Source organism: Homo sapiens, unplaced genomic scaffold (assembly GCF_000001405.40).
Source record: "Homo sapiens unplaced genomic scaffold, GRCh38.p14 Primary Assembly HSCHRUN_RANDOM_CTG34".
NCBI classification, from domain to species: Eukaryota; Metazoa; Chordata; class Mammalia; order Primates; family Hominidae; genus Homo; species Homo sapiens.
Genome location: NT_187510.1, coordinates 1788 through 14217, shown reverse-complemented (window position 1 = coordinate 14217; position 12430 = coordinate 1788).

The window sequence follows — 12430 nt, the reverse complement described above, 5'->3', positions numbered from 1 at the left end:
GTTACTAAAGGTAGCTCACGTGACATCAGCAAGGAAACACAGTCCTTCTATCTGTTACTAAAGGGAGCTCACGTGACATCAGCAAGGAAACACAGTCCTTCTGTCTGTTACTAAAGGGAGCTCACGCGACATCAACAAGGAAACACAGTCCTTCTATCTGTTACTAAAGGGAGCTCACGTGACATCAGCAAGTAAACACACTTAGTCCTTCTGTCTGTTACTAAAGGGAGCTCACGTGACATCAGGAAGGAAACACAGTCCTTCTATCTGTTACTAAAGGGAGCTCACGCGACATCAACAAGGAAACACAGTCCTTCTATCTGTTACTAAAGCGAGGTCACGTGACATCAACAAGGAAACATACAGTTAGTCCTTTGTATCTGTGATTTGTGCATGTGCTGATTCAAGCAACCACGAGTCAAAAATATTTGCAAAAAAAGCCCTTTAAACTGTATTGAACATATACAAAGTTTTTCTTTTTATTATTCTCTAAATGACACAGCGTAACAACGATTTGCATAGCATTTACATTGTAGTAGGTGTTACCAGTAATCTAGAGATGATTTAAAGTATAGGGAGAATGTGCATAGTCTACGCTGAATACTACAGAACTGCATATCAGGGACTTGAGCGTCTAGGGATTCTGGTATCTGGGGGAGGTCCTGGATCCAATTTCTCATGAATATCGACAGATGACTGTATGTTGTATCTTGATGCAATGAATAAACAAAGCAGATAACAGTAACTGACATGGGGTAGAAGGTGAGGGGAAATGAAGGGGTTGCTATTTATATGTTTACATGGGATGAACAGGGCAGACCCCACAGAGGGGATATTTAACAGAAGCTAAACGTACGAGAAGCAGTCCTGAGAACTGTAGACCAAGAGAGCTCGTGGTGGCCCTGGGAAGGGGCTTGTCAAATCTCGTGGCCCCTAGGGGCTGGTGACTGTTAGCGGCTGGCCAACAGCCAGCTGCCGCCCTGAAATCTACCACTGTCAGCCGGTAACCCACCATGGTGGAGTATAAAGGCAGGCCTGCTGCGAGGAGATGAAAGACTCCTCTGCTGGGCAGCCCGGGCTGGAGGGTTCTACTACCAGCCTTGCCAAAAGTTTCTCAGAATTGCACTGCATTTTAAGACTTTGCCTGCCCAGCCCCCTGCAGCCCCTTCTCATTTTCCTCCACATGCACTTCTCCCAAATAATCTCTTGAGTGGCAAATACCATTCCGGTGTTTGCTGCTCCAAGAGCCCAGATGTACACAGTGTTCCAAGAGAGGCTGCACAAATACAGTGGCCCCGAGGAGCTTGGCATTTTCGAGGAGCATCAAGGAGGCCAGTGTGGCGTTCATGGAAAGGACAGAGGGAGAGTGGGAGATGAGGTCAGAAATGTACTTGAAGTCCTTGCCGAAGAAAAATCGTTGACTTGCTTATTATAAAACCCTTTTTGTTAAGGAAGAAATAAAAACTGTTAACCAATGGCATCTGTATCCATTACAGAATTTAAAGGCAGGGTATCATACAGCCAGTACCTTACAGTCTTCCCATTAGCAGCATTCAACACATCTGTCCAGGTAGTAAACCTAAGTGGCCCAGCTCTGGGCCATTAAATTTTGATGTAACCCATTAAGGAAACTTACGGCCTTAGTTCAAAGGGCTGTTGCCATTGTGTCTGTGAGAGCAGTGCTGCAGAGTGCATTTTATGCAAATCTCATAGATTTTAATGAGTGCTCCTGCTTAATAAGCTAGTTAGACCATTTGGGCATTTACTTGAGAGTGACCACAAATGCCTTTTTCTGAAACCATTTTACAGTGCTAACATTTCACTGAAATAGCACTTAACACGGAGCCAGGCACACAGTGAGCACTAAGAGTGTTACGTGACTGATGACAGGGATGAAGAACAGGAGTCTTACCAGGTGTGTCAGTCTCGATGCTCCTGAATGACCCAGACAAAAAGGGACTAGAAACTTTCTTTTCAGGAGTTTGTGGCTTAGATCCCTGTTTCACCACAAAGCATGAGCTTGACACAGCCTGGACTTGACAGCACTTTCCACAGGGCACTTAAAAATACTTGTACCTCCTCTCTTTTACCTCCATAAACCATGACAGGTCTTTGCTCAGCCTCTGATAAGCAAAAGATTAGAAAATCCCTTTAAACTTCAGAAACAGAGCAATGCTCAGTCAGGCGATAAAAGCTGCAGAAATTGGTCTTGAATATTATCACTGTGTATCAACTGAAGTCAGATGAAGAGCTCCACATTCATCCAAAGTTCTTTTCATACTAATTAGATGCTCTTCAAAGGTGTAATTACCATTTAAAAATGACTTTGGAGTGCAGGATACACAATAGATTTTTAATGTCTTTTAATTTATTTCGATGTTTCTCATATTTCATTAGTACGTTCTTATTTTACCAATGAGTCACAGGACTTTCAAGGACTTTTCCCTCTCCCACAGTTAAAATGCTAAGCAGAAGCTAAGCTCACGTGAAAAACTTGTCTCAATAACCAGAGAAAGACTATACTAATTACAATTTGGATTGTGTGGATTATCAATTTGTCCGATACTCCGTTTGCCTCCACCTTGAGGAGAGAACTATTTCCAGCCCCAGAGTCAAGCTGCCTCATTGCACGGAAGAGGGAGTAAAATAAGAAGCCTGGTGATGTGCTTATTGTCACAATTTGTGGTACAGCTGACACTTAGACTACATCTGCCCTTGAAGCTCAACTTCTTTGCCCTACTCCTGTGGTGTTTCTTGGCATCTGGTATCATTTCAAAAGGATAAGAATGGCATAGAGAAGGTTTCTCATTGCTAAGCATGGAGTAGGAATATTTTAGTGAAATGTGTAAGTTTTGGGGCGGAAGTAAAAACACCCCATCTGCTCTTCCACACTTGGAGAGAGCTGCACACAAAGCAGCAACTTGGCTCTGGGCGGCAGCTGGCTGAGGTCTCATGGTCTGGAGGACAGCCCCTGGCTTTCACATCGTCCGTGTCTTGCCATTTCTCTTTGGATAAGGCACAAATGTCTGAAGATATCCTCCAGGCCCAAGGACCTGCTCCTATTCTATCCAGTCTCGTCTTTCATGAGCCACTGTGCTTCAGCCACTGCTTTTCCTTCCACCCCTTTGTCTTTCCTTTTTCCCAGGTATAAGGCCTTTGCACTTTCTAAACCCTCTCCTGCGTCTAGTGGGGACTTGGAGAATCTTTGTGTCTCCCTAAGGGATTGTGGATGTACCAATCAGCAACCTGTGTCTAGCTCAAGGTTTGTAAATGCACCAATCAGTGCTTTGTGTCTAGCTAACCTAGTGGGGACTTGGAGAACTTTTGTGTCTAGCTCAGGGATTGTAAATGCACCAATCAGCACCCTGTCAAAACGGACCAATCAGCTCTCTGTAAAATAGACAAATCAGCTCTCTGTAAAATGGACCAATCAGCAAGGTGTAGGTGGGGCCAGATAAGGGAATAAAAGTAGGCTGCCTGAGCCAGCAGTGGTAACCTGCTAGGGTCCCCTTCTGCACTGTGGAAGCTTTGTTGTTTTGCTCTTTGCAATAAATCTTGTTTCTGCTCACTCTTTGGGTCCACACTGCCTTTATGAGCTCTAACACTCATCGCGAAGGTCTACAGCTTCATTCCTGAGCCAGCCAGACCACGAACCCACCAGGAGGAATGAGCAACTCCAGACAAGAGGAAGGAGCAAACTCCGGACACACCGCCTTTAAGAACTGTAACGCTCACTGCGAGGGTCCGTGGCTTCATTCTTGAAGTCAGTGAGACCAAGAACTCACCAATTCCTGACACAAAGAGAGGCCTAAGAAACCATCTAGGCCAATGCTATGGTTTTGGAGTTCAGGACATTGTGGCTTAGAGACAATAATGGATCTGCCTAAAATCACAACACAAACTAGTACCAGTTCTTGAATGAAAATGTAGGTCTTCTGATTCCTAGCCAAATGCTTTTTATAAGAATGAAAATTTTGTGTCCTTGGAAGGCCTAAGGCATTTTCCCAGAGTAACTTAGAAGAGTCGGGCTCCATGAATAATTTAGTAATATAGAAATAAGATTTTTTAAAATGTCTAAAATTGACTGCATGACCCTGGATATAAAGTATAAAAGCAGAAGACAGATGTGATGTGAGGCTGGCAACAAGTCGTGCCATGCTCTATGTACCCACACTAAAAGACAATATCCTTTCCACCTTACATACTTTATGGCAGTATAAGCATGTTAAGTATGCAAATCCTACAATGCTGGCAACATTTCAAGACTAGTTGTGTCACGGTGTTCATAAGCCTGGGAGCTCACTAAGCTACAGAGCTCTTAAAACGTAGAAGTAGAAGAGGTAGAAAAAAAAAAGGAATCACACTCCTTATTACTGTAAACCAAAGAAAAAATATTTACATTTTCAGCATTCTGTTGGGTAGGAAAAAAGCTTTTCCTATCCCATCTTACATGTTGTGCTGGAGCCTGTGAATTAAATTGAAAAAACAACAGCAACAAAAATTAACAAGAGGCAAAAGCACACACATGTAATTGATGTTTTCATGTTACATGCGTGCTGGCTACACATAAGATAAGTGAAAAACTCAAAACACTGGTTAGACTCAGGGGCTTATAAACGATGTGTGTAATTCTGGAATAGATCCTACTGACCTTGAAGCAGGCCCAATACTCCCACAGCGTGTTCTTTTGTATAAACATAGACATTGACTCTTCCGCTCTTAAAGCTTGAAACTTGTATTTGTTTCATCTGAGTTCTTTCCTCAGGAAAGGACCTTCAGGCCTCTCCAAAAAAAAAAAAAAAAGCATTAAAGAACTGAAACTCACCAGATGAGACCTCCTTGTTCCTCCCTAGTTCGTGTTTCCTACACATTGTTACATTTCTTGCCTGTTGTATAAAACCCCATTTTTAGTCAGTCAGGGCGATGGATTTGAGGCTGAGCTCCCATCTCCTCAGCTGCAGCACCGGATGAAAGCTTCTTCCCTGGAAACACTCACCATCTCAGTGATTGGCTTTCTGTGCAGTGAGCAGCAGGACTTAGACCAAACCCATGGTGTTTTGGTAACAACCTCACCAAAATAGATGGGCACACACACAAGCCTTTAAAGATACAAAGTTAAACGGATAGTATGGATCATTCAGTATAGAGGAAACAGCATAGCAAATGTATAGAGACGGAAAATTACTAGATATGTTCCAGGAGCAACATGCAAATTCCACTGCCAGTTTTGGCTGTGAGGTCAAACAGATCTGATCTGAATGTTTGCATTCCTCCAAAATTCATACATTGAAACCTAATTCCCAATGCAATAACATTAAGAGGTGGGGTCTCTAGGAGGTGACCAGGTCATAAGGGTGGACCCTTCATGAATGGGTTTAGTACCCTTATAAAAATGTCTGAGAGAGCTTGCTTGTTTCTTCTGCCATATGAGGACATAGAGAAAACTCCATCTATGATGAATGGGCCCTCAGCAGGCACCGAGTCCACTGCTGCCATATGAGGACATACAGAAGACTCCATCCATGATGCATGGGCCCTCAGCAGGCACCAATTCTACTGCCGCCATATGAGGACATACAGAAGACTCCATCCATGAATTGGCTCTCAGCAGGCACCGAGTCTACTGCTGCCATATGAGGACATACAGAAGAATCCATCCATGATGCATGGGCCCTCAGCAGGCACCGATTCTACTGCTGCCTTGAGCTTGGACCTCTGGCCTCCAGAACTACTAGCAATACATTTCTGTTGTTTTATAAATTACCTAGTCTAAGGTACATTGCAGCAGAAATGGACTGAGAGAGACATCTTTCAGAGAATTACCTCTGTTTGTTTGTCTGTTTCTGTTTTGTAAAACTGGAAGAAGAATAGAACTTACAGTTCTGTGGTATAAGATTGTGTCCAGAATTGGTGGGTTCTTGGTCTCACTGACTTCAAGAATGAAGCTACAGACCCTCAAGGTGAGTGTTACAGTTCTTAAAGGCGGCGTGTCTGGAGTCTGTTCCTTCTGATGTTCAGATGTGTTGGGAGTTTCTTCCTTCTGGTGGGTTTGTGGTCTTGCTGGCTCAGGAGTGAAGCTGCAGACCTTCGCGGTGAGTGTTACAGCTCTTGGGGCAGTGTGTCTAGAGTTGTTCGTTCCTCCTGGTGGGCTCCTGGTATCGCTGGCTTCAGGAGTGAAGCTGCAGACCTTCACGGTGAGTGTTACAGCTCATAAAGGTAGTGTGGACCCAAAGAGTGAGCAGTAGCAAGCTTTATTGCAAAGAGCAAAAGAACAAAGCTTCCACAGTGTGGAAGGGGACCCCAGCAGATTGAAGCTTCTGGCTCGGGTAGCCTGCTTTTATTCTCTTATCTGGCCCCACCCACATCCTGCTGATTGGTCCATTTTACAGAGAGCCGATTGGTCTGTTTCACAAAGAGCTGATTGGTCAGTTTTGACAGGGTGCTGATTGGTTCGTTTACAATCCCTGAGCTAGACACAAAAGTTCTCCACATCCCCACTAGATTAGCTAGATAGAGTGTCGATTGGTGTATTTACAAACCCTGAGCTAGACAGAGTGCTGATTGGTGCATTTACAAACCTTGAGCTAGATACAGCGTGTCAATTGTTGCATTCACAATCCCTTAGCTAGACATAAAGGTTCCCCAAGTCCTCACCAGATTAACTAGATACAGAGTGCTGATTGGTGCATTCACAAACCCTGAGCTAGACGCAGGGTGCTGATTGGTGTGTTTACAAACCTTGAGCTAGATACAGAGTGCTGATTGGTGTATTTACAATCACTTAGCTAGACATAAAGATTCTCCAAGTCCCCACCAGACTCAGGAGCACAGCTGGCTTCACCCAGTGGATCCTGCACCAGGGCCGCAGGTGGAGCTGCCCGCCACTTCCGCACTATGAGCCCGCACTCCTCAGCCCTTGGGCGGTCGATGGGACTAGGCACAGCCCTGGAGCAGGGAGCGCCCCTTGTCGGGGAGGCTCGGGCTGCACAGGAGCCCATGTGGGGGTGCGGCGGGGGAGGCAGGCTCAGGCATGGTGGGCTGCAGGTCCCAAGCCCTGCCCTGCCGGAGGCAGCTAAGGCCCAGCAAGAAGTCGAGCACAGCAGCTGGTGGCCCAGGTGCTAAGCCCACTGCCCGGGGCTTGTGGGCAGGCTGGTGGCTCTGAGTGCGGGGCTCGCCGAGCCCACGCCCACCGGGAACTCGTGCTGGCCCTCAAGCACCGTGAACAGCCCCGGTTCCCGCCTGTGTCTGTCCCTCCACACCTCCCTGCAAGCTGAGGGAGCCGGCTCCAGCCTTGGCCAGCCCAGAAAGAAGCTCCCACAGTGCAGCGGCGGGCTGAAGGGCTCCTCAAGCATGGCCAGAGTGGGCGCCAAGGCTGAGGAGGCACAGAGAGCGAGCCAGGGCTGCGAGGGCTGCCAGCATGCTGTCACCTCTCAAGATAAAATGAAATAAATGGATATGAAGTTCTCAGCACAGTGCCTAGAAAACAATAAGATCAGCAAATGTTAGCAACCATAATAATAATTATCATTAGTTGCTGCAGTAGAGAGTTTATGTAGAAAACTAGAAGGATGTAGGCTAGTAAATGGTCAGGTCCTATCAGAAAACCATCCATTATAATGTGTGATATCAAATCTACTGTATCTCAAGTATAAGTTCAAAAAATGTTCAGAAGTCAAGCTCTTTCAAGAAAGGTCAATAACACCTATCATTGGCTCATCATCATGGTCCTTCAATCAGCTCTCTCCTCATTAGGAAATTTGCTATCTGTGAGAAAAGGAGTCTCCTTAATGGGAAAACGTGCTTTGGATTTCCGCTTGATGGGAGGCACTGAATACTAGTGAATTTTGCTTTGTGGCAATTAAATTGAAAGGTCAAAATATGCTAGTTTGGATTCATTTCTAACGTGGCAGATAACTACCAAAATTGCAACTATCACTAAAGCACTTTGATGTACATATGCAACAAAGGCAGAAAACTGCTCTGAATGTCTCCTAAATCAAATATGTCTCTTGTGTATCTTACAAGTAAAAATATCGTTTTAAGCGTTTCTTTAATGTGGAAAATTTTGCTAAGAAACAAGAGATGCCCACTAGTTTGATTTGCAGTTACATCCACTTTCATCAGCTGTTATGGTTACTGATAATTCTTGGCAAGAGTGTTTAACTCATATGATGTAATATTCAGCTTTTTAGTAAAGTTATTCTTTATATGCCTTATCCCAAATCCCAGCATACACTCTCTTCAGAGGCCATGTTTTGTGTTTGTCTCCATGCCAAAAGTAGTCATAATGGAATTCAATGCACATAGACGAAAGCTGGTTGAATAAATTGCACCTATAACCAAGAAGATCAAACATGCTTCCTAGTCTACAGGGTATTTTGCACGTAATATTGGAAGAGAGACTGTGGAGTATCTGACACATTGATATAACCTCCAGTTGCTAGATGCCTAGTAACTCCGTGCACGAAAAGAGTGTTTCAAGAGATTCTTTCATAAACAGAAGTTGCACAAAATGACCACAGGTCGCTCGAAACCCTAAATATCTATGATATTCTACCAATGCTATATTCACAAACGTGTCTTAACGGTTCTCACCGGATTCTATTTTACTCACTTTTGAAAGGTCACCTAATTTTTTAAAGTGAGCTAATTACTGTAGTGAGTAAAATAGTCTTGAATGATTGCAGGTGGCAATACTATCCTATTACCCTTCTAAAGGCTAAGGTGACACCAATTAAATTAAGGGTGACTGATAATTCTTTTTTATTACTACACCTGTATTCATATTTATATACTTTTCATTAATGCTCCTGGAGTCAGTTAAAAGATAAAGGGGAACTAAACTCAGCTCATTAATAAAATTTAAAAGTTGGTTTCCAGACTCTATATGCTGATTACTCTCTGCCACCACGAAGGCATTTTAAAGCAGCACAGATGAGCACATAAGCAACGAAAACAGACTTTCCACAAATAAACCTTGAAAAAGAAAAAAAAAGGCAAGATAAACAAGATCAGCAGGCCAGCAGTCCTGTCAATTCTTCACTGTCCCAGTGGTACTTTCAACTCATTAATGTTGGCTGCTGTGTTCTCAGGTGACTTGCTGGTATAAATGCCTCATTGTCTGGTAACCAAAGGGAACAGCATTTTATTGCCAGTAACCTGATAAAGAATTTTGAAAACAAGAGACACAGCAGATAATGAGCGTTTTGCATGGGCCCTCTACACTCTATAACCATTCAAGCTTTCCGAGCAGAAAGACATGACCTTTTCAGTCCTTGTGCCTTCTACGCTGTGCAGTGCTAGTCGGTGCCGGGATGAAGCTGACAGAATCCTCCCAAGTGGCTCCAAGCACAAATGAGGTCATCACAATGGAAAGCACTAATCCGACTCATTGTACTTACTCTAAACACATGAGCACTAACAAGTTTCCTCTACTTAAATGTTGCTTTTGTGTGTATGTGTCTGTGTTTGTCTGTCATTTAAAGGTATGACCAGATGCTACCTTGCAGCCTTTTCCTGGTAAACTCTTGGTCATTTTCAACATTTTCCTGACATTCCAGCTGAATAGTTATCATCACTTCAATTTTTAATACAATAATTTAAAGCATTCTATGATTCCAGTTTTCAAAAGGTACAACACACATAAGTACTTCCCTTAAGATGCTGATAACTAGTGAAAACACTATAGTGATAATTCTCTACTAAACAGCAAAATAAAGGCTAAAATGTTATTGATGCTTTCGCATTCTGTAGAGAAAGTGATTTTTCATAGCGTTATTGACTGCATTTCATCTGTTTTGCATATTGTTAATGAACCTTGTTCTCTTTAAAACAAAACAAAACAAAACAAAACATCTTTCTTTAAAAAAAAGAACTCACTTATTTCCTTGACACCAACATACACTATGACTTCCAAATTATGCCACCTCTGGGGAACAGTTTTTCATATCCTCTCAAGTACTTTTTTTTTTTTTTTTTTTTTTGAGATGGAGTCTCTCTCTGTTGCCCAGGCTGGAGTACAGTGGTGCAATGTCGGCTCACTGCAACCTCTGCCTCCCAGGTTCAAGTGATTCTCCTGCCTCAGCCTCCTGAGTAGCTGGGATTATAGGCGCCCGCCACCATGCTCGGCTAATTTTTTTGTATTTTTAGTAGAGACAGGGTTTCACCATGTTGGTCAGACTGGTCTCGAACTCCTGACCTGCTGATCCACCTGCCTCGGCCTCCCAAAGGGCTGCGATTACAGGCATGAGCCACTGTGCCCGGCCAGTAATTTTACTCTGTGTGTTACTTGGCATTTTCCACTTTTCTGTTCTCTTTTGTGCATTTGTATTCTATTTTATATTAGTCCATGGTTGTGGCACATATTAAAGATGTTTGTAAATTCTTGTCAAGTAAAATGAATAAACGATCTGATGCCAGTTGTTCTTAAAATTATGTTCCCTCTCAATCTCAGAGGGACTTAATACTCTTCACACTTTTTACCGACTGAATGCAGGAAAATCCCAGGTCATCCATGAAGCCTGTGATTCTGTTGGTTCCATCGTCCAACGTGTCCCAGCTATCATTCAAGAGTGGACATAATGCTCTGCTCCCAGACCACGTCAAAGTGTCCACTCTGGGTGCCCCACGACAACCTACTGGCCAGCACTGACTACCAGACCCTGTTGAAGTGTCCACTCTGGGTGCTCCACGACAACTTACTAGCCAACACTGACTACAGGGCTCTAAACTAAAGGAGAGAACTGTTGGGTGGTTATGCTTGCAATTAGACCCTCCAGGGTGTCTACTACCACTGATGGAAGCAGGGGAAAATAAATATTATACATTCAGAGTTTGGCTACTCCAAGAGTAGGAGTCCCCCAAACACTGGGGACTCCTACTGAAGCATCATATATGAGACATATGAAGAGTAGAAAATGTAGGAAACATTGACAAACATGTATTAAGTCACTTCAATATAAGCCTTGGAAAAGTCTAGGAGCTCTATTAGAGATGCATGAATAGAATACAATCAGGGGACATGGTATGACCAGAGTTGAATAAACAGCATTGCTCACTACTCTTCCTGAAAATAATACTAAAAACAGCAAGAATATATTTTAAAATACAATTTCATTTTAAGTTGAACTAGGAGTAAATAGAAATGGACCATAGACTCAAAAGTACATATAGAGACTCTAAACAGCTGAAATCAAGCAAGCCATGGAAGACCAAAGGAAGAAAAGCACAGTGATGGCTTAAAGGCACAGTGGTGGCTGATTTCAGAAAGGGCTGAAGGCCAGGGACTCTGAAATATAAAAGTTGTATTCTTTGTTTGTAATAATGGATTCAGAACCTCTATGGACCGAGGTCATCGAAGACTTTCTGGACCCAGTTTCACTCAGAGAAGGTGATGCTCTACAAAGAGCCGATGACTTAGGTGTATCTGCAGAAGCCACTGCATTCTATGGCAGTGAAGGAGAAGACTGTTGGGTTGTTAAGCTCTTAGCCGTATCTGCAGAAGCCACCAAATCCTATGATGGTGAAGGAGAAGACTTAGCCATACCTGCAGAAGCCACCTAATTCTATGGTGGTGAAGGAGAAGATTTAGCCGTATCTGCAGAAGCCTCCAAATTCTACGGTGGTGAAGGAGAAGATTTAGCCATATCTGCAGAAGCCTCCTAATTCTATGGTGGTGAAGGAGAAGACTTAGCCATATCTGCAGAAGCCACCTAATTCTATGGTGGTGAAGGAGAAGACTTAGCCATATCTGCAGAAGCCACCTAATTCTATGGTGGTGAAAGAGACTTAGCTGTATCTGCAGAAGCCATCTAATTCTACGGTGGTGAAGGAGAAGATTTAGCCGTATCTGCAGAAGCCATCTAATTCTATGGTGGTGAAGGAGAAGATTTAGCCATATCTGCAGAAGCCTCCAAATTCTACGGTGGTGAAGGAGAAGATTTAGCCATATCTGCAGAAGCCTCCTAATTCTATGGTGGTGAAGGAGAAGACTTAGCCATATCTGCAGAAGCCACCTAATTCTATGGTGGTGAAGGAGAAGACTTAGCCATATCTGCAGAAGCCACCTAATTCTATGGTGGTGAAAGAGACTTAGCTGTATCTGCAGAAGCCATCTAATTCTACGGTGGTGAAGGAGAAGATTTAGCCGTATCTGCAGAAGCCATCTAATTCTATGGTGGTGAAGGAGAAGATTTAGCCGTATCTGCAGAAGCCTCCTAATTCTACGGTGGTGAAGGAGAAGACTTAGCTGTATCTGCAGAAGCCATCTAATTCTATGGTGGTGAAGGAGAAGATTTAGCCATATCTGCAGAAGCCATCTAACTCTATGGTGGTGAAGGAGAAGATTGTTGGGTTGCTAAGTTTGCAAGACAACTTTGCCTCCTCCTTTCTTCTTCATAGAAACTTTTCACAAATTATTGGTTCAAAACAT